This window comes from Homo sapiens, chromosome 5 (genome assembly GCF_000001405.40).
Source record: "Homo sapiens chromosome 5, GRCh38.p14 Primary Assembly".
NCBI classification, from domain to species: domain Eukaryota; kingdom Metazoa; phylum Chordata; class Mammalia; order Primates; family Hominidae; genus Homo; species Homo sapiens.
In genome coordinates this window covers 166067155-166090136 of record NC_000005.10, presented here as the reverse complement: position 1 = coordinate 166090136, position 22982 = coordinate 166067155, and the positions used below count along the sequence as shown (strand labels likewise).

Here is a 22982-nt window from a genome sequence, read left to right as displayed (position 1 = left end):
GTGGTTCTCCTGCCACAGCCTCCTGAGTAGCTGGGATTACAGGCACACACCACCACACCTGGTTAATTTTTGTATTTTTGATAGAGATGGGGTTTCACCATATTGGCCAGCCTGGTCTTGAACTCCTGACCTCAGGTGATCCACCCACTTCAGCCTCCCAAAGTGATGGGATTACAGGTGTGAGCCAACGCATCTAGCCTAATTGTGTATTTTAAAGTGTTTCTGTTTCATGCTTTAATGGTGATGAATTTTAAGGACAGTTTCTCATGACATAGACAAACTGTTTTGTTTCAGTAGTTAGGAATAGCAAGTCCCATAGAATATCTAAAAAACGTGGTACAATCCCTTTATTTTAATAGGTGGCAAAAGTAGGTCCAGAGATGTAATGTGACTGACACAAACTGGTGTAACTTTTTTAAAAAAAATGCAGTATTGAGACAAATAACTTGTTTTGAACTGAAAAAGTGTGGACATGTAATTTTGAGATAAAGTACATATATAAATGTCATAGACTTTTTCATAGACAGAAGCACTAGTAATCATCATTACTTAAATTGCATATAAGTAACCTGGGCCCCAGTGATGACTGGCTCCAAGTTGCCCAGATGGTTAATTCCAGAGATTTACAGGGACCACCAAGTTTTCTAACTTCCCATATATAACTGTTCTATTATATGTAAATTTTTATTGATTCTGGACAACTAACAGCCACTATGTAAACTACAAATTATAATTTATTTTTGAAACTTACATTATACACAACACTTCTTATACATAAAGAAGAAAGCATAGTGTAATGTAAATAACACAGATTTCATAGGGAGAATTAGCAGAGGTGGTAGTAGTAGTAGTGGTAGTAATAGTAGCAGCTATGTATTCAGCCTCAGTTTGCACTTCTATGAATTAGGATGATAACACTGTAGCAGAGAGTTCCCTAAGGATTTAATAAGAAAACAGACATAATATATTTTTGGTACAATCTAAATACAAAGGCTACAGAGAAGTCAGTAATCTCTATTTGACTATTCAGTGGGAATTGTAAGGTGATACAGTATTCGAGTCAACAATGTTCAGGTCAAAGGATGTTTACTAAACACCTTACAAAGCATACTATTCTGCTGTTTTAAAACAAATAAACCTCTGACACTGCTCCTTTTTGTTAGTTTCCTATTTGTACAATTTTCAAATATGGAGGAAAAAAGCTCCCAATTAAACTTGAGTTTTGTGATTTACTGGACTTTATGCAACCAAGAGTGAGAAACTACTAAGCTGGTATGGCCAGTGCTACAAGTGTCCTGTTAGCTACTGTCCCTAGGATTTTTAAAAATATTTATGGATATAAACTCGAGTGGGAGTGGGGATGGGGATGGGGATGGGTGGGGGTTGGTGGGGGGGAGAGAGAAAGTGACAGTTGAAAGCAGCTAAGTGGTTTCTAACTCTCAAGTGTCAGATACTTAAATCCTGTATTTCTTTAGACAAAATGCTCCTTTGTTCTTGGAAAGTCATCTCACTGAGCCTTTTAGTTATGCAAATGTAAAGCAAATACTCTTTGGAAATGGAGATGTGGTTCTAAAGAGTGAAAACTATTTCATGAGAAGAAATGGAAAAGTTGTCTACTCGGGTTGCTGTAGGAGAAAACGCCTTCTAATCTAATCTAATCTAATCTAATGAGATTGCCTGGCCTCCTTGAGTGAGTCCCAGTGACTGTGGTTAAAAGAGTGGACACTCAAAGGGGATGAAAACTCTTTTCACAAGGCAGTATGCAATATTCTGGCCTCACGTGAGCATGGCGTTAGGGCCCAGGAAATGAAGTGTGGCCCAGAGTCACTGTCTCTTTCCAAAACCCAGCCTCATTCTTGTACAACTTGTACAACAATAATAATCATTATTATTTTGTTGTATTTTGAATTATTTTTGTAATTTCAAGAATCATATTTCAAGTTTCTAAGTTATTACGATTTTTTTTCAAATCTTTCTGCTCTTCCTTTTTAACCTGTTTTTGGTTTCTCATTTTTGTGATCCCATCTTTTATTTATTTAAATAGTCATAGGTGAGCATTTTATATTTTGTACCTTATCACTGTGAGATCTGAAGTACTTGGGGAACTAAATCTTTCATTTAGTGTTTCTGCTGACTGTCACTCCTGGCACTCATTTCTTGGTATATTTGGGAATATTGAATGGAAGTTCATATTTGTTCTTATCTGTGCAAAATCTGAAAGCTTAAATTGATGGAATTTTTTTTTCAGATGTTCTCTTTCATTGAGTTGTTTTGTTCATGAGACAAGGCTCACGACTGACTTGGTCTACTCTAGTCCCATTCTGGCTTCATCCTGAAAATCTATGACTGGTAGGCCCAAGGCTTAGTATGCACCCAGTCGGGGACACTATGGGTACTCACTGCTCACAGTCTTTGTTTTAGCTTGCTTTGGGGGGTTTCTGTTCTGTTTTGAAAATTTCTGTTCTTCTGTCCTTTGTCTGTCAGAGATTTCCCTCATGTTCTTGATTCCAGCAATACAATAATGCTATTATTTTATGATGTCCTTCAGATTTTTTTTTTTTTTTTTGGAGGACCTCTCAGCATACCTGCTCTGCCATATTACTAGAAGAGGGAATCTGTATTTTTTTCATTGATAAAATGATCGTCTAGACTCCCTTCCAGTGAGATGTGAACATATTTACAAACAGCCAATGATAAATGAATATAATTGATATGTGCACCTTCCGGGTCACTTCCTTGAAGACAAGTTGCTTGCCTTGAACTTCTCACCCACCTAGCTCCCAGCGCCCTTCCTCCTGCCTGAAAAACAGTAACAAAGGAAGCCCCAGCTGTCCATATGGTAAAGGAAGCCATATATCAAGGAGGACAGAACCTACTGTTCCACCTGTGTTCCCAAATGACCTCGTGGAACAGAAACCCTTTCTTAGCCTGAATGTCATGTGAAACAAACAAATAAACAAAAACAAACTCCTGTGTTGTCTGAATCTCAGCATTCTGTGACCTTCTAGACAAAACAACATATATCCTAACATGTGCATTTCATTTTCAGGGGTAACACGATTAGATACCCTAAAAACAACAGGCAAGAAAAATGTCGAATTTTACAAACAAATTATCTAATCTTGTAACTGAAGATTGCAGTTGAAATTAAAATAAAGAAACTAGTACCTAGGGGAAGAAAAAAGAACACAGAGAGAAGGGGGGTATAAAGAGTTTAAAAGTGACAGAAAACTGAAAAAAGTCTATCTTATCTTATGCCAGAGGGGGAAAAAGTTGTAATTACCCAGTAAGATAAAAGCTGTTGAATTTGTAGCAATGGAAATATTAAGACAAATTAAATCCCAAGCTTATCTCTGCTCAGTGCTATCAATATTTTATACTAAACATCTGTTCCTTGTATCTCATCTCAGAAATGCTTCTACACTTTATCAGCGCAAGCACAGCTTTTCAAAGCAAATTAAGCTAAACCATTTTCACTTAATCACCAATTGATCACAACACGAAGAATGCCACATATTGATCTCTAAGAGCCCCATTTTTCCCAATTCAGAAAAGCATATTGGAGGAAACACTTGATTTGCAATCAGAGTAAACTGGTTAGGCTTACACTTCTGACATATTTTAAGTAGGAAGTATTTCAGCGATTAAAAGGATAAAACAACATGTATTTTCAACGAGAGGCAAAAAATAGGCAGTTCCCTGCCTTTAGTGTAGAGTCTTAGAGCTACAGGAGACGTTAGAGATCCTCTAAGCTTTATGAATTTTCACTGAGGAATGCCAAAGAGAAGATGGCATTTTTATTTTGGGGGCCACTAGGATGTTAATATCTGGGTTCATTTGAGAATTAGCAGCACAGAAGCAATCTTTCTTCCAAAATTTTGATCAAGGGCCATTACTCCAAGGTAGGGGAGCCTCACGTGAATTTATTGCCAATCTCTGATCTAGTTCAGGAGCTGCCTATTCAAATGCCTGCAGGACCTAGGCAGTTAATGTAAGTGAGTAGGAGGCATACTGTTTCCATGTTCTATGGGTCGGTGCACGACAACTCCAGATGATTGTTGTTGTCTGGTACACATATGGACCCTTTGTTCCCACACGTTACTTTTCAAGATGTAGGGGCCGTTGGAAAACTCTCCTTTGCCCTCTGAAGGTTTGCTGAAAGTAGCTGACAAAAGGCAGATTAATAGGAGAAAAGACACACAAATTTATTTGATCATAGTTTTACCTAACACAGAAGCCTTCAGAATGAAGACTCAAAGATACAGAGGGAGATGCCCCTTTTGATGCTTAGATTCAACAAAGGATGGACACTCATTTGGATACCCATGTAGAAATATAATTGGACGAAAAGGGCATGATCCAATGCTAATGAACTGGGTGGGGAAACACATCAAGGCCTGTCTGGTTAGATTCTTCTGTCTGCTTAGATTCTTCTCTCTAGTTAGATTCTTCTCTCTAGTTAGATTCTTCTAGGCCCCTCTGTGCAGCATTCCTTCTTTCTGGGTGTGAGGCAAGACCCTCTCTGGAATGGGGTAGGGGGGGTCTCATGACCTGCAGTCAAACAATGTAGGTCAGATAATTTCCTTATGGCCAGTTTTATAGAGAAAGGCACATGGAAAGGCCCACATCCCAGGAAACCCCTCAGATCTGGGCAAACTGGAACAATGAATCACCCTATTCTAGATCCACTGATCAGGGTTTGTTGTTGTTGTTGTTTTGTTTTTATTTTTTACCACATTGTGGACCACACCTTTCTTTTTTCCTATCATAAGAACACATAATGGGTTTGTGACCCTCAAGTTTATGTGGGGATGGGGAGGCCAAGGTCCCTGTGGTAGCTTCTGACCACATCAGCTGTGGCACTGCTCCCCAAGCCAGAGATAGGACTAAAGGGGTACAAACAACCAGATGGATTGAATGATTATCTCTGGCATGAAAATCTAGCTTGTGTGACCTCTTATCCAATATCATCCTTAAAAGTCACATGTGATGTGATTGCATATGGTCATTCTGGTTTTATATTTTCTGGATTGTTTAACCTATCTAAAAAAGATAACCTGAAACAAAATCAAACTTTATGGTAATTTTTGTTTTGCACACAAGTTGTTTGTTCACTAAAATTCCTACATTTAGCAAGTTAGTGTGACAGATCTCATTTCAGAAGTCATACAAATTTTAGCCATTTCCAGAGCATGGAGGAGGACCTCAAGGGGAGAGGGAGAGAGAGAGAGAGAGCGAGCAAGAGCACAAGCAAGCCTTTGGAACTGTGAGGTTACAGATCTACTACTCATTTTACTCCAAGACCCAGGGAATCTATCTGTGCTCAGAGTTCCAACCAACTTCAAAGGGAGACTGGTGATCACAGAAGCTCGATGAAATAATGGAACAAGAATAAAATTGGCCCTGTGTGAACTAGATTGCAAAGGCAGGAACCTAGCTTCATTTACCTGAGAAGCTAATGTTTAAATTAAAATCTTTATATGCCCTCTGTAGTTTTCTAGGCATGTAGATTTCCTACCAATGACTAGCCCAGAGAAACTGACAAAGAAATTATGGTGGGATAAAACAAAAGGGACTAGTTTTTCCTTTACACTTTTCAAATGAAAAATGACTTCCCTTACATATGTACTTATCTTTTTTTTTTTTTCCAGAGCCAGCATAGAAGTGACAATTAGAGGATGATTCTTTTTTTTCTTTGGCCCTGAAGGGATCTAGCAAGAGACTTTAGTATTTTTCTCTTTGTAAAATAAAGCCTGGCTTTGAAGCCAGAATCTCTGAAATGAGGCATTGCAAATGTCCTTTGATGAATCAGTCTGTGTGAAGGAGAAAGGAAGAAGGGAGCAGCAGATTGATTGCAGCTAATGTACCTCTCCTGCCATGCCCTTTTAATCTTCCTCAAATGGCCGCGGATAATCAAGAGGTCAATCATGAATCCATCACGGGTCCTTGTCTCAGGGCAGTTTCCAAATTGTTGAAGCTCTCACTCAAATAAGCCATTTAAAGCAGTTAGCCAGACTGGGGTGAGAGTGGGGCATGGGGGTGCTGGAGAAAACATCAACTTCAGGGGTCCAACTGAAGGGAGAGAACATTTCCCCTGAGAAACACTTCTGCAGGATGTGCAGGAACAACTTTACCATCAACTTCCTTCATTTATAACCGAATAAATGAAAACCTTACATTTTGAAAAAGGGGGCAGGCATGCAAAATATTCGGGGTAAAGTGAAAAAAAAATGCACAGAAGAAGACAAGAAGAGAATAAAAAACTCAACTGCAGTTAAAAAACCAGGGAGTTACAAGGTGTAACCTCTGTCGGCTGACACTCCAGTGGCAGTTCTGCGAGTTCTGCTAAATATCCCCTTAGGGATTTCATGCCTCTGGGCGCCCTCTGCCTAAAAGAGAGAGAAAAAAATGAGTTTAGGGGCTGAGAAAGAATTGCTTACATTAGGAAGCCATAATATCTGTGACGTTTACTCAGCGAATGGCTGCCCGCTTGCTGCCCTTAGTAGAAGCACTTGGCAGCTTCGATCTTGCTAGTCCAGAAAGAAATAGCCCTTTCCCTTCCTCCAAGAACATCCTCGACATCAGTTGGCAGCCCCTTTTAAATTTTGGATGAGGTGTCAAATGAAATTTGACAGCTAACTGATAGGTTCAAATTCTCACAGGGCAATCTATCCCTGAGGACACAGAAAAACTAATTCACTGCCAGGCTAGCAAATTTTCAGCGATCCCTATCATTCCACATGCAGTTTGATGTGCAACCAACTGCCTTTTTTTGGTGGAACACTACTTCTTATTAGATAGGCCCCTCTGTGACAAAAGGCAATGATTTTAGAAGACACATGTCGCCACCCCCTACCCCACCCAAAGTTCTCAGAGGTTCCAAAATTTATTTATTTACTGGCAAAATGGAGAATTGCCTCTATTGGTGAAATAATTGACCCCAAAGGTGTTTGTGAAAAAAATGTTAATTTTAATGTCGTTTGTGTCATCCTATAGTCTGTCAAATAATCTTAAACATTCAAAACCATTTAGAAGAAATTTGTTAGTCATTTTCTTTTTTTTAATTAGCATCCTATCTTATTTCTAACCCTGATTACTCTAGCTTTCTCTCATAGATGTGTTCATATTCTCCTAGCTATAAGATTGACCCTGTCCCAATTCTGAAATCAACGGAAACTTAAAGCTAGAAATATTTAAGCAGCCTTAATCTCAACCCCTTCTTAAATGTGGCGGAAGGGCACTGTTACTTGCGGGTTTTTGTTCAATTTACGCTAGCTCACCCTTATTAGACCTGTAGAAATTGGCAAATCACTGAATCATTTGATGTCCTTTTTCTCATTTGTGAAATGAGGATCATAGTAGTACCTAATACAAAAGTATTGAAAGGATTGAATAAAATAGTATCTGACACATAGAAAGGACTCAATAATTGATAGTTTAAGGGAAATAACTATCCGTCTAACAGTAGCCTAGGAAACTGTGCTGCATGATGGCATAATACAACCGGCATTCTCTAACTAAAGCTCTTCAAATATGACCTGGGAAGCAATTAGGTGTTATCAAATAGGTCACTATGTTTCACCACTGTCCTCCAATACCAACTCAGGCCCTTGCCCTTTCTCTGAAATGCTACCAGGAAATGTAGACCTGAGTTCATTGTCTGAGCTGCTCCTATGTTCGAAAGACTGAATTTGTGCTCTGGTCCCTATTTCCAAGTCTCATTTCCTCCAGTCTGTCTGTAAAAGATTGCAGCACTGTTTAAGCAGTGTCAGTCTTATGGAAGAGGGAAGATGGAATGAGCCATGTATTTGCCATCTCAGTTTATAATGAAAGGAGAACAAAACCAGGAGAATTGGAGCTCAGTTTTCTTATTAAATAAAATACTGTTCACTTCTCTGTGCCATAAGTGTCTCAGCTGTGAATAAAGTAGAGTATATTTTCTCAAAGGCCCCTTCTATCTGCATCATCTATAAAATGGGTCAAATTAGCCGTGAACCCTAGTAAAATTTCAAAACAAAGTAACTTGGATGAAAGGTAAGAGTCTTGCCGGGCGTGGAAGCTCACACCTGTAATCCCAGCAGTTTGGGAGGAGAAAGCAAGTGGATCACCTGAGGTCAGGAGTTCGAGACCAGCTTGACCAACATGGTGAAACCTCGTCTCTACAAAAAAATACAAAATTAGCTGGGCGTGGTGGCTCATGCCTGTAATCCCAGCTACTGGGGAGGCTGAGGCAGGAGAATTGCTTGAACCTGGGAGGCTGAGGTTGCAGTGAATTGAGATCACGCCATTGCACTCCAGCTTGGGCAACAAGAGCAAAACTCCATCTCAAAAAAAGAGAGAGAGAGAGAGAGAGAAAACAAGGGGAACTTAAGGGGTCATAACCACAGAAAACATAAACTAGTATATAAAGAAGTAAAAAATAGCCATACTGAGAAAAATAAATGCTAGCCAATTTACTGAATGGACAATATAAATACCTTAGTGTTTGTAATACAAAAAAATGAAACAAAAGATACATGTCACAATGCAGAGTCCCAGCACTAAGAGAGGGTTTATTTAAAGATTACACAAATATTTATTGTTCTCTTGCTATTTGTCAGTTGATTTCTTAGACCCTTTAAGATACATCAGTGAACAAACCAGATGAAGAGATCTGACACTGAGGAATTTATATTCTAGGACAAAAAATAGTAGATAAATAATAAACAGGTAAAGTACTTGGTACTTTAAAGGTAATAAACATTATTTAAAAAATAGGTAATAAACTATAGAAATAAATGGAGATAAGTTGGTCAGATGAAGCAAACAGGGTGGTGAAGACAGGTGGTCATGAGGAAGGTTACATTTGCAGAAATATCTGAAATACGTGAGGGAATTTACCATGTAGCTATTGGAGTGAGGCTCCTCCAGGGAGTGGGGAACATTCATGGGGCAAGCTCTGAGGAAGGAGAATCCCCATTGTTGGTGGGCTGGGGTGCATGAAAGGTGAGGTCAGAAAGTGAAGGCGCCAGCTAGGCACGGTGGCTCACGCCTGTGATCCCAGCACTTTGGGAGGCCAAGGCAGGCGGATCATGAGGTCAGGAGATCGGCACCATCCTGGCTAACATGGTGAAACCCCGTCTCTACTAAGCATACAAAAAACTAGCCGGGCATAGTGGCGAGCGCCTGTAGTCCCAGCTACTTGGGAGGCTGAGGCAGGAGAATAGCATAAACCTGGGGGGCAGAGCTTGCAGTGAGTCAAGATCGTGCCACTCACTCCAGCCTGGACGACAGAGCGAGACTCTGTCTCAGAAAAAGAAAAAAAAAGAAAAAAAAAAAAAAAGGAAAGAAAGTGAAGGAGCATTAAGGCTATTCTAGGAATGGAGGCATTTAAACAAAGTGGGAAACCATGGCAGGGTGTTAAGCAGAGAAATGACACATAATCAGACTGAAATTTCAATGCATTTTCTCAGAAAAGAGTTTGGGTGAGGGCAGCAGACAAAGACAGATGCAAGGGGACCAGCTAGGAGGCTTTTGCAATAATTTAGATTAAAGATGGTGGGGGTAGTGGCTAGGCTTGGAGTAGTATCCCTGGAGGTGATTAAAAATGATTGAATTCTAGATATATTTTGGAGGCAGAGGCAGGAAGGTTTCCTGAAGAATTGGATATGAGTATTTGAGTAAAAGAGGAGTCAGAGAATAGGGAAAGCAGGAGAGGAGGAGTTCAGGGAGATCTGAAGTTCAGTTTGGGGAGTGTGGACACTGCATTGTACCTGACACACTCAAATGCGGATGTCCAGTGGGCAGCTGGTTATATGAGTCTGAGGTTCAAGAGCAATGTCTGTGTTGGAGAAATACATTTGGAAATTGTCATCTACTGATGGTATTTAAAGTCTTTAAACTGGATGGGATCATGAAGGATGAATGCTAAATATAGAAAAGAAGATGGTCATGACTCACTTCAATTTCAAGGGAATGAAGAGATAATGAGAGACTAGCAAAGGAGAGAGAGAATGATTCGTAAAGGTAGAAAAACCCAAAGGAGTGTGGTTTTAGTCATCACACTGGATGAGATCACAAAGAATGGAGAGAAATTCAGAAAGGAAGACTTATGTTAACCTTGACAAGTGCAATGTTGGTGGAGTGGTGTGGCGAAAGTCTTACTGGAGTGAGTTTAAGAAAGAATGTGAGGAGAGGATTGGAGAATGTGGGTAGGAGCAACATTACAAAGAGTTTTGTTGCAAATGAGAAGCAAAGAACCAGAGGTATAACAAAACTGTGATATCAAGAAAATATTCCATTGTTTTAATGTATGAGAAATAATACCACTTGTGGGTTGATGAGAATGATCTAGTAGTAGGAACATCAAGAGAATTGTGCAAGGATGTCCTTAAGAATCCAAAAAGTAGTAGGATATAACATGCAAGACAGGGGCTGGCTTTAGATAATGCTATAGGAATAGACAACAAGCCAGAATAACAGGGCGCAAATGCTAGTAGGTGAGTATATGAGGTGCAGGGAGTACGTAGAGATTTCCTTCCAGTGGATTGAATTTTCTCAGTGAGGTAAGAAGTAGTATCATCAGCTGGGGACAAGTCTAAAGAAGGAATGTTGGAGGATTCAAGAGAGGAGAAGCTATGAAATCATTAACTAGGAAAATGGAAAAATATTTAGACTAGAAAATTAAAGTATGACTGCTTGGTACCATTAGAGCCTCAGTTGAGGTTTTTGTTCATGAAACTACAATGAGACCAGGCAGACTGGTTGTGTGTTCTTCTCTATTGCATTCAAGCTTCACAGGTACCGGTGTAGAACAGGCAGACAGCTTTTGTAGGGTTGTGGTTTTACCAATTGAGTATAATAAAGAAAAGTGAAAGTCAAAATATTAGTAAGGAGGTATTTATAATAACTGACCACAGAATTAATATATGTAGGGAAAACAGTAAGGATAATAAATGAAGAGCTACAGTAAAAACTTGATAAGATCAATTGACTGGGGATGTGAATGTCATTAAAGGAGGCTGAGTCCTAGAGGGAGTCAGAAATATTGAAGGCAGAAATGGTGCATATAATTGATATTGAAGGGTTGCAGTTATTGGTATTGATTATGTATGATTAGAACATTCTCTCAAGGTCTGACCTTGGGAGTGAGTTCCTGAGGTGAGGTGGAGATAAAAAAATCTTCAGAGAAGATGAATTTAAAAAATGAGGATCTAAGTTGTTAGAAGGAACATCTGCCACCAAGAATAAAAACTGGAGTAGTGTTGGAGAGAATGACAGTAAATCCTGTGGTAAAATCATCTTAAAATGAGAAGAAATGACCTGGGGTCCAGTGGTTGACAGTAACTATAAGGAATACTGATGATGTAATCTGATAGCTTGAATTTCAAAGCTGGAATTTTTAGGGAAATGTAAAGAAGGATAATCTGAATTGAGTATTGAGAACAAGAAGGGCACCTGTCTCATGTGTAGTACAGGAAAATGCAGGCAGGGAGAGTGCAACCCACTAGGGTAAGTAGCATCCTCAGGGGAGGGCCGGGTAATAAAAAGAGGTAATGGGACCATCAAAAACAGAACAAAAAACCTTGTTGGTAGAATTTGAATATTCTAACTCAGATTTAGAACGTATTAGAACAATTGTGCCTTCTGTGTTATTTTCCTTTATATGAATTCATAGTTCATTGATGGATTGATTTCACTCAATGAATTTAAATAACAGAGCAATATTGTCAGATACTAGAGTTATTGTAATCCTTAACTCTCAATGACACACCAAGAGAAAAATTAATAAACCTCAGGTAAAATAGGTGCACCATTTAAAATGGGTCTTCTGTTTTGATTCTCTCTTCTTTGAGCAGATGAGAAAATGCAATGAATGGTGTTCTTGTTGTGTGGAAGAAGTAACTGTATACTGTTATTTTCAACTTCGATCAATCATTTCCAGCTCATTTCCTATTTTCCTTTTAAAAAACCTACCACACCAAGAATTTCAATAGCAGCATGTAAAATAATTTGGGCAGCTGACAGGCAATTCAATTCCCTGGCGGATTTTTAGACAATCGGACACCCAGGAAAAACTTGTAAATTTGTTTTATTCATGGTCAATTTGCTATGGCACATTTTTCTCTACCAGCTCAACTCAACTTCTTACTCAAAAGAGAAGTGGAGCATCGCTAGGTAGGAGCACAACTGGGTTAGGTGGTTAACCAGGCACAGATCATCATTTCTGCAAACAAGCCCTCTCTCTTTGCCTCCTGCATTCTTAAACGAGTCACATTCGGGTCTCTGTTCATCCATTACCAAGTTCCTGCCGGACTCTTCTGGCAGGAGACACAAACATAATTCCTCTCTTGGTAACTCTTAGAGCGAGTGTACTCTGAGGCAACTACCAGAAGAGTAAGAGAACAGTGGATCCATGGGCTAGGAGCTAGAGAGCTGAGGTGGAACCAAGTAGAAGTCCTTTGATCAAGTAACAATGTATGGGCTACGATAAATACAGCACAAGGAATGACTAGATTTACCGTAAGAGATACCTAAACTCTATCAAACAAGAGGAAGCTAAACATGACCTTTTCTATTGTTTAGGGGTGTCTTATAAGAGCCCAAAAGCCAGCAACAATAGGTACCAGAAGAAGGGGCTATGGTTAAAGTAGACTGTCGTTCTACCAATGGTAGAAGAAAGGACAGATGTGGACTCTGAGTAAGGGAGCTAATTTTACTGTCTTAAAAGAGATTCTGCCCAAGGAAAGCGCTGGGAGGGCAAAGCGACCTCAACGCGGGCACTAAAAGTCAGTGGCATAGGGAAAGTTGTAAGAAGCCAAATAGAGGATAATGACTGAGCCAACAGCACACGATTAGAGATCTCCAGTGGGGTGTTTCCAGGGACAGTGGTACCACATCTCCCCAGGGAAAAGAATAAAAGAGAATTTTCCTTTGAACATCTGCCTCGCTCAGAGGCATCAATGCCAGATTACAACTCTGCCACCTGCCAAATGGATCTGGGTAAGTGAACGTCCTGCCCTATCTATGTTAGGAGGAATGTTATTTAGCTGGTTATTACTGTATAGAAATAAAAGCCTGTTGTCATATTTTCCAATTTAAAAAAAAAAAAGAAAACAATCTAAGTCTTTATTTTATAAATGTTTATTACTCATTAAAAGTATAATTTTTCATTGGCTGCATAGTAAATTAAACATCCCAACAGACCAGATAGAGCCCATGGTACAATATTTTGAACCCTCTGATGTTGGCTGTAGTACAACCAGTAAGGTCTAGTATAGCTATATCTCAGCTATGATCTTTATTAAGAAATTTGCTGTGGTTTAAGCTTTTTTTTTTTTCCTTCTTTCCTAAACCTTTTCCTCTTTGTAATGGTAGAAATGTTGTTTAGTAATGTCTAAAAATCTCCAGAAATAGGCTGTTTAGTAATCTCTAGATACTTTTTCTTTAAATTATTATTTTGAAATTAAATTTTAAAAAATTAAAATTTTGTTTTTGAGAAATAATTGTATATATTTATGGGGTACGATGTCATGGTTTGATACATGTTTATATTGTGGAATGATTAATTAATTTATAAATCCATCACCTCACATACTTATCATTTTTAAATATATATCTTTTTAGGCCTTTATTTAGTCATTTGCTCAGTCAGGTCTTCCCAGACTATTTAACGTCCAGATATTCTATGATCTGGATGTCAGCAAGTGACTGATTATCAATTCTATCTATTAATCTATCTGTATGTCTGTGTATCTATATATCAAGGACATTATTATTTTTTAAGCACCTTATTTCTATCCTTGCATTCTGTCTTTTTTTTTTTTTTTTTTTTTTTTTTTGAGATGAAGTCTGGCTCTGTTGCCCAGGCTGGAGTGCAGTGGTGTGATCTCAGCTCACTGCAAACTCTGCCTCCCAGGTTCATGTGATTCTCCTGCCTCACCCTCCTGAGGAGCTAGGATTACAGGCGTGCACCACCATACCCGGCTAATTTTTCTATTTTCATAGAGACGGGGTTTCACCACATTGGCCAGGCTGGTCTCGAACTCCTGACCTTAAGCGATTCACCCACCTCGGCTTCCCAAAGTATTGGGATTACAGGCGTGAGCCACCAAAATATTGGGATTACAGGCGTGAGCCACCAAGCCCGGCCTTGCTTTCTGTCTTGATTTCACTTCTGTTTCTTTTCAAAGATGCAAACAGTAAGTATACAATTAAAAAATACAGAGGTGAGTAGAAATAAATATTTTAAAAATCTCATTATCACTGTGGTTATGATCTCACTGGTAATGGTTTGATTTCACTGGCAATTTGTTTGAAGAGTTTCTCTATCTCTCTCTGCCTCTGTCTTTCTCTCCCATCCTTCCTTCTTCCCTCCTCCCCCTTTCAGAGTACGAATAAATAAATAAATAATAAATAAATAAGCCCTCCATGGAGGAGGAAAATAACATTTCTATTGCCTTTTCTCAGCCTCCTTCCCCTTTTACATGCTTAGATAAAAACACAAATACTCTGATGTTGATTCCATCATAAGAATTTGACCTGAAGCATGTACAATAAATATAAATTTGAAACTTTCCCTCCTCCTTTAAATGTGGAAACTAGGATGGAAGACTCTTTTGTGTAGAAAAACATCTTATTTGAATATGCATGGGTAAATCCTAAGATTTAGCTGGAATAGGAGAGGTTGAAACACAGAAAGGGCAATTTGCTTTGCATAATAATGTAATGTGAATTTTCCACTTTCCCCAGGAGGCTTGAGAAGGAGGATGTTGGGAGATGGGAGTGGCTTGAGATTCAAAGAAGCTAGAGAGTAAAGGCGATCTTTACTGGGTGGGTGCTGAGTCATCCTAATGGTGTGAGATGTTCCCTCACACTATTAGTGTGACATGAGTGTGTAACTTCAAAAGCACAGACTTCCAACTTACAAATGTAAGTTACTGTCTACTGTATGCTGTAATTCCCTGCCTTTATCTGCAAGTCTCCCATGAGGCTTACATAGCCCAGCATTGTGTGTGATTGCTGCTCTGGAGAACAGTAAACAGGAGGCTTCCTTCCTGTTCTGAGAGAAGAAAACCAAAATGAGCAACAACAGCCTGCAGGGAAAGTAAAACAACTGGGGAAGTTCAGGAGCAGCAGTTGGAAGCTACAGTGATAAGTTATCATCAAGAGAATGTGGCTGGGTGTGGTGGCTCACACCTGTAATTCCAGCACACTGGGAGGCTAAGGTGGGAGGATTGCTTGAACCCGGGACAGCCTGGGGAATATAGCCAGACGCCCGCCTCTATAATAGAAAGAAAAAGAAAAGCAAAGAAGAGAAGAGGAGAGGGGAGGGGAGGGGAGGGGAAGGGAAAGAAAGGAAAAGAAAAGAGGAAAAGAAAAGAAAAGAAAAGAACATATGACCCAAAAGGTCTTAACGTTTCTTTCAGCTTAACTAAGTTTTACATAGGTTTCTTTCTGACTCCAGGGCTCTGACCTCCCTTTTCTTAGATAATTTACTTCAGAAAACAACTTTCAGTTGAAAATTCTTTCTCTCCCCTTTTGAGATGTAAATCTTCTTTCAGACTCTTACCAGGTGTACAACCCAGGATTGTCTTTCTGAAGACCTGGGATCTCTCCCTTTGAAATGTAAACATCAAGAAAGGCAGAACCATCTCCTATTCTCTGTGGGAGAGTAGGAGCCTAACTTCAATACATTTCAATTAGCAAACACAGAAGGCCTAATCACATCGACTAGCCTCCTGCCTAATCTCCTCCAATACTTTTCCATTAGCTCACCCCAGCATTTAAAAACTCTTCCACTTTTTGTTTCAAATGGCATTGAGTTCAATCTCCCCTATTGCAATAGTCTTGAATAATCTTCCCTGCTGTTTTAAAGAAATGCCTGGTGCAATTTCTCTTGGCTATCCCACATCTCAGGAATCACTGGAAAACTGGGGAGGAGATCTTTGGACTGGGCACAGCCATGCAGTATGGTAGATCTGGGTTGGGAGTACCTGCCTAGAATCTTTTTTTTTTTTTTTTTTTTTTTTTTAAGGAACTACCCCTCCCTACTCTCCATAGCTTTGTGGGAACTGCCAATCAATGTGCCTCCCCTCTCTATTCCCCCGCCAAGTGGTGGACAAACGATCGGGGCTGAGCTGGACCTGTGAAACTCTCAAGGGTAAGTGCATCTTTAATCGAATGGCTCAGGACAGAAAATGTTGAAGTGAATTCATCCCAGTGTCAGCAGCTTAAAGACACTATTCATTAGCGTCTGCATGCCAGAGTCCAGGAGCTCTTTTCACTCCAACTCTGCTATGAACTGTAGTTCTTGAGTTGTTTCATCGGTTTTGCTGAGCTACTAAGCCACCCTACAGCCTTCCCTTATCACCTCTATTTTTTTTTTTACATGATCCATTACTCGCTTTTTCCTACTTGCAATAAAAGAATGATAACTGGTATGTGTAAAATGGGAACTAAGCTCATTTTCATATGTATATATAATAAACGACAGAAAACCCTGGCAGTACATCGGTCCCATCCCACCCATACTATCCTATTTAATCCTCTTTCTCCTTCCTCCCCTCTTTCCTGTTTTTCTGTTTTCTTTCAATCCATTGTCTATGCATGTGTCTATGTTGGTTGATGCATACAGATTTTAATTACATATATATTTTATATATAGATATATAATTAAACACATGCACACATATATGTGTGTGTGTGTATGTTTTTTTTTTTTTTAATTTTTTTCTTTTGATACAGAGTCTTGCTCTGTCACCCAGGCTGGAGTGCTGTTGTGCGATCTTGGCTCACTGCAACCTCCGCCTCCCGGGTTCAAGCAATTCTTCTGCCTCAGCTTCCCAAGTAGCTTGGATTACAGGCATGCACCACCACGCCCAGCTAATTTTGCATTTTTAGTAGAGACGGGGTTTCGCCATGTTGGCCAGGCTTGTCTTGAACTTCTAACCTCAGGTAATCCACCTGCCTCGGCTTCCCAAAGTGCTGGAAATTACAGGCGTGAGCCACCACGCGTGGCCCAGATTCTAATTATATTTTTAATGTAGCTTTCTTAGTTTAGTTCTTACTTTGTTACCCTTTCTTTTTCTTCTTTTATTCATTTCTCTGTTTCTTGAGACCAATTCTGGCCACATCTTTGGCCCATCAGTTTGGTTCTTACTTTGTTATCCTTTCTTTTTCTTCTTTTATTGATTTCTCTGTGTCTTGAGACCAATTCTGGCCACATCTTTGGCCCACCAGTGACTTGTAAACATGTCTGCAACCAGTTGCATGAGTTTTGCTTCTCACAGCTCCAGGGAATGCAGGCTGCTACATGGAGCCCTGAGGTGCTGCCTGTGAAACCCACTTGCTTGCTGAGAGCTGTTCAGGGGCTGTGAAGCCACTGATCTCTTCCAGTTCTATCACTGAGGCTATGATGAGCATTCTCATTCTTTTTTTCTCCTCTGTGCTGTTTTCCAACCCTTATACAAATCTCTGATTTGCATTCAAGGAAGGCTTCATAATTTCATAGTCTTGGATCAATATACAAATACAAGAGTCAAAACATTTACATATAGATGGTAACAGGGAGGAAAGTAAGGCCTGGATGTGTTTTCAAATCTGTCTACTCTGCATTAGAAAATGCAAGAAATAAACAAAAAAGAAAGCACATGACTTAAAGTTAATCAGACCTCTGTTAGGATCTTGGCTCTGATGTTCAAAAGCACGTCAACATTTGTTTCTATTGTTGTTTCTGTTGTTTTAATACCATTGAATTTTCTCAGTTTCCAAATCTGTAACACGAAGCTTATAATTTCTGCTTCGGGGTTTGTGTGAAACTATGTAAATGAACCTCTTTAGTGCCTAATAAAAAATGCACACTAAATAAATAGCAGTGATGATAATGTCATTGATTAATTACTGTTATTTTTGTTATTGTGATGAAAGTGATCCCTAACCATAATACATTACATTGGTGGGAGAAAATCCATTATCAGTAAATATCATTGCACTAGGTATGAGCATTAGTAACAAAAGTAAAAGCTTTTGCAAAGGAAAGGGGTAAATTTCTCTTAATAAAGCCGGGTCCACAATGGACAACAAAAGAGTTATCACAGGAACCCTGTTGGGAAAACACAAAAACTTGGAGGGCACAGAAACCTTTTGTTTCTCTAAATGTAGAGCGATTTCCTGCCAGATGGGGTTTAGTAAGTGCTTACAACTCCAATATAAATAGACAAAAAGACTTAAAATCGGTAAACACAATCTAGATATAAATAGTACAACCTCATCTTTTATGTCACTTAAGTAATTAAAACGCTTCTCATTGAATAATGAAGTTATTTAAGGAGAAACATCAGAAAAGCATCCAGCCGGCAGATCTAACTGCTTTTGCCTCGAGTGACATGTTCCCAGCAGTGGGTTATATTATGCCTTCATAAAACGTGTTCTGTCATTTTTTTCAGTGCTGTTATTTTTGGCGGATAGTAAGAAAAAAGTATCTATCTATGGTGTATGAAAGCTCTGGATATAAATAAGGAAGGGAGTGATTCCTGACGCAGGTGAAGCCCTCCAACAACTTGAAGCAAAACCTGTCCAACCTAGAGGAGTGAAAGCAGCACTCATTTGTAGAAATCTACAAGTGCAGGGATTTTAACCCTGGAACATGGGTTTCACCTTATCACATACGTTTTTAACAGAAATTGCAACTAGATTAAGGGCATGATCATAGAGTGGGATTTTTGCCCTAGGTTAGCATTTTTACACAATATTTTAATAGGTGCCTTCTAAAGGAGCTTCCATGATGAACTAAGTTTGAAAAACACTAGGTTAGCAAATTTAAGTAGATTTCACCTCATTTTCCATCCAGCCTCCCCACTGCCCAATGGTAGAGCTATTGCTGTCTACTGTCTGTCTGTTTTCTCTTTCTGTCTTAATAGTTGGACCTAGACTCAAGTTATACTACATCTCTCAGTCTCCGTTGCAGTTAGGGGTGGCTGTAGGACTGATTTCTTCCCAGTGGAATGTAACTTAATGTGAGATATGTTAATTAATATTAACATTAATTAACGCATGCCCCGCTCCGTCTTCCTGCATCACAATTCTTTAGTCAATCATTGTTTATAGTTGAAGTTTTTGCCTTGTTCTTTCAGAATAAACTCCTAACTACTCTCACCTCCTCCGACCTGCCAAATAATACCCACATGCTTGCAAAATAGTTGGTCTGTCACAAGTGTTTTCTTGGCCCCTGAAACTTCCCCTGAGGATGCCTTCATAAGCTCTCAGACTTCCTGCTGACTGCATGAAAATACCTTAGGTTTATCCAGGAAGCCATCTTTTGAAAATGACAGAACTGCTGTCATTTTGGGTTCTAGAATTATTCCATAGAGAAACAACTTTATTTATTAACTTAAAACGGCCATCTAGAATCACTTTGCCAGAGTCCCAACCCTCTCTCCTCCACTCTGCACACGATTTTTCAAAATCTGAAAAATTCAATGGTGAATAATGAGGTTTTAGATTTCAAAAGTGGATCTTTGAAGTCTCTATTAAGGAAAACACAGGTGTGACAAAACAACAATTTTAATCTGCAAGCTTGTGGGTATCATTTGGCAGGTTGGAGGAGGTGAGGGTAGATGGGGGTCCATTCTGAAAGAACAAGGGAAAAACTTGAACTGTAAACAATGACTGACTACAGAGTTGTGATACAGAGCCTGGCACATAGCTCACGCATGTAATCCTAACACTTTGGGAGGCCAAAACTGGTAGATTGCTTGAGCTCAGGAGTTTGAGACCAGCCTGGGCAACATGGTGAAACTCTGTCTCTACAAAAAATACAAAAATTACCCAGGCATGGTGGCTCACACCTGTACTTCCAGCTACTTGTAGGGCTGAGGTAGGAGGATCCCTTGAGCCAAGGAGTTGGAGGTTGCAGTGAGCCGAGATCACGCCACTGCATCCAGCCTGGGTGACAGAGTGAGACCCTGTCTTAAAAAAAAAAAAAAAAAAAAAAAAAAAGAGTTGTGATGCAGGAAGACAGAGCAGGGCATGAGGAGAGAGAGGTCATTACAGCCACCTAGCCTGGGAGAGACCACAGTGAGTTGGCTTTGAGAGATGGGCTGGTCTCTGTTTGAATGGGACTCCCTCCACAGTCACCAATAGGGAACTATAGAGAAACCTATCAATGATCAGAGTGAGTCCTTTGCCATTCAAAACACCACTCCCATTTTGCCTGTGCCCAGGGGCATGCCTGTTGCCCTTCCCTTTGCTCATCCTCTGGGAGCACTCCCCTCCATAGCCATCTCCACTGTTCCCTAGGATCTTCTTGGGGAGTAATTTTGCCAATTCTTTCTTAGCCCTTTTGTCTGCATTATGATTGTAAAATATTCAGAAATCTTGCAAGCCACTTGTTAAACATAAGTAGCCTGTAATCAGTCATGGTGGAATATTTACACCATGAACACTGGCAAAGCTGGCATTACCCGTGCCTGTGAGCTCCATGATATAGGTAGTAGAGACATGGCCTGGGGAGCCCATGGAAAAGAGGGAAAAACCCTCATCACTGCATTTAGATAGTATAAAACTGAACATAAACAGTTGATATCTCCCACACTATTAATGTCACCTACACATCACCAATGATTATTCATTGAGTACTATAATATATTAAGTTCTGGGATTGTGAATATATTCTAACAAAAAATAAATGTTACCTATAGATGCTTTTCACCACTTAAATCCCTTGGGAGGAAATATTTTGAGACTTATAATTTCAAATAAAATGAAAACACAATAATAAACTAAAATAATCTATTTCTAATAATTATGATACTTGGCTAAAAATATGAAGAATATACTTACATAGACGGGAGGCAAAAAATAATCTGATCTCCATAGTGCATAATTGCCCTACCATGAAATCAGGATTTTCTTTCCCTCTGTCTTTGAAACTATTCAAGCAAAAGACCATTAATTGCCTGATGATCCTGCAAAACATGTTTACCTCAGGAAAACTGTTGGGCAATATGGAAACCACAGGAGTGGATTAGGCTGCCCACGCAAACGCTCTATGTCATCTTCAATTTAAGGTTTGATGAATCAGAGCTGAAAAATGTGATCCCCCTACCTGTTTCTATGAAAAAGTTAAGTAGCAAAAAGTCTCTAAACATTATTTCTCTAGTTTCTTATTAATAACATGACACTACTGTAAATTTTAGAAGCTGTGCTCCCCACGACCTCTCAAAGGTCGTTTGTAACTACATCTCCTATGAGCTATGAACCCTTGCCTTTCACAGAATAAAGTTGATCTGCTGACAGTAATGAGACAAATATGTATTAGCTTCATGCCTCAGAAACTGTAGTGCCCCTAGTGAATCCTTGACATTTACTGTGTGCAATTTCCCTTGGTGTAAAACGCAGTTTAAAAAACAACTAGAACGCATGAACATGCTGGCAATAGCTATGTCAGCCAAGAACTGACTCATTTAAACGAAGTTATAACCTATTCCTTGAGTACTGACTAGGGTGTGTGAATAAAATAGCAGTAGATACTTGGATGAGATGTTTAATGCAAAATCATGCTTTAACCGCAGTTTCTTTTTATTTAAATCAGGACTTCATCATTTAAAAAAATTCTAGCTTTTAGGAATGTGATTTTCTTACACATCAGGATTTAATAAGCTAAATCTGATACTATCACTCTTCAACACTTAGAAGAAAATCTAAAATCCAAACCCTTTCAGCACTCTGTGATTTAACTGTTGTGTACCTCATCCAAGTTATTTTCCCACCACTGTCCATGGCCATGTCATACTCTGGTCTTCTGGCTCTCTGGCTCTGAGATGCCAAGCCCAGCCAGCCTCCAGAGTTTGGCATTTGACGGTCCTTATCTTGCAATGTTCCTTCTCACCATTAATAGGTTGCATACCTGGACCCTTTTCCTCCTTGCTGGCATAGCTCAAATTTCTCCTTCTCAGAAAGACTTTCCTTGGCCACTCAACAAATTTGGTCATGGTCACTCACTCTTTCTCACATTACTCTGTTTTTATATTCCTCATATCATGGTATTTTTTTTGCCTCCCTTTATTACAATAGAAAATGAGCTCCAGACAGTAGTAGCCCTTGTCTGTCGCTGGGTGATTAAAAAGTTGTACCAATCTTTATATTTTGAGAATGTTCTGTTTTCTACTGAGCATGGGTATTTGGAAATACTTTGAAAAGTACTTGCAAAATCTTTGCAATGGATCATAGAATCTATAAAAAATTGAATCCAGAAAGATTATCTACTCCAACTGCCTTGTTTTAAAGTTGAAAATGTGGAATTGAAATAGTAAACATTTCAAACCTGTCTCTGACATATTGGAATCTATTATGAAGACTTAGCTTTAAACAGGCCTTAACAAAAAGTTTCAGAAGTTTTGTCTGAAATTATCAAAATGTTTGAAAATTAGACATAACTTATTTTTTGAAATTCTGATGAAAATTTGAATCTTTCTTGTAGAGCAAAAACCTTTTGCTTAAGTACAAAAATTTCCCACAGTCTTAGGGGTCTCATGTATGATTCTCTAAATTGTTTCCATTCTCATTTTCAAAGGTCTACATGAAAAACTTATTCATTCATTTATTCAGTCTTACCTTAATGCTTATGAACCACTTTAATAGGCAAAACAGGGAATAAGAACTCAAGAACACAAAAAGTTTTCCAACAAACGGAACTAAAAAGAATGACATGTAAGTAATTGTTAAACAACAAACGTCGCAGAGATGTCACAAAAACCATCACCTCCGAATGGCTTACTGTGTCATAAAGTTTGATAGGTGGATTTCTAATTCTCACATTTTCCCTGGAAACTAGGAATGTTTATTTTTATTTTATAGGCAAATACCCCCGAGGATTAGTGATGTTAAAAACAAACAAACAAAAAAACTTTGTCCAAAGTCACACAGTTCATTATTGAAAAGCTGGGAATCTGACTCCAAAGATCATAATTTTCAACTTTATTCCATGTGCACAGAAGCCTATG

The 22982-nt window shown here is 39.1% G+C and overlaps 4 annotated features.

The window, feature by feature from the left end:
* Positions 1107 to 1950: an enhancer, noted in NCBI's record as "OCT4-NANOG hESC enhancer chr5:165515192-165516035 (GRCh37/hg19 assembly coordinates)". NCBI's record gives its function as "activates a minimal SCP1, AML or CMV promoter by ChIP-STARR-seq in naive H9 embryonic stem cells {active_cell/tissue: H9 hESC(naive)}" and the evidence as "EXISTENCE:reporter gene assay evidence [ECO:0000049][PMID:30033119]".
* Positions 15272 to 16037: an enhancer, noted in NCBI's record as "OCT4-NANOG-H3K27ac-H3K4me1 hESC enhancer chr5:165501105-165501870 (GRCh37/hg19 assembly coordinates)". NCBI's record gives its function as "activates a minimal SCP1, AML or CMV promoter by ChIP-STARR-seq in naive H9 embryonic stem cells {active_cell/tissue: H9 hESC(naive)}" and the evidence as "EXISTENCE:reporter gene assay evidence [ECO:0000049][PMID:30033119]".
* Positions 16038 to 16803: an enhancer, noted in NCBI's record as "NANOG-H3K27ac hESC enhancer chr5:165500339-165501104 (GRCh37/hg19 assembly coordinates)". NCBI's record gives its function as "activates a minimal SCP1, AML or CMV promoter by ChIP-STARR-seq in primed H9 embryonic stem cells {active_cell/tissue: H9 hESC(primed)}" and the evidence as "EXISTENCE:reporter gene assay evidence [ECO:0000049][PMID:30033119]".
* Positions 16804 to 17569: an enhancer, noted in NCBI's record as "H3K27ac hESC enhancer chr5:165499573-165500338 (GRCh37/hg19 assembly coordinates)". NCBI's record gives its function as "activates a minimal SCP1, AML or CMV promoter by ChIP-STARR-seq in primed H9 embryonic stem cells {active_cell/tissue: H9 hESC(primed)}" and the evidence as "EXISTENCE:reporter gene assay evidence [ECO:0000049][PMID:30033119]".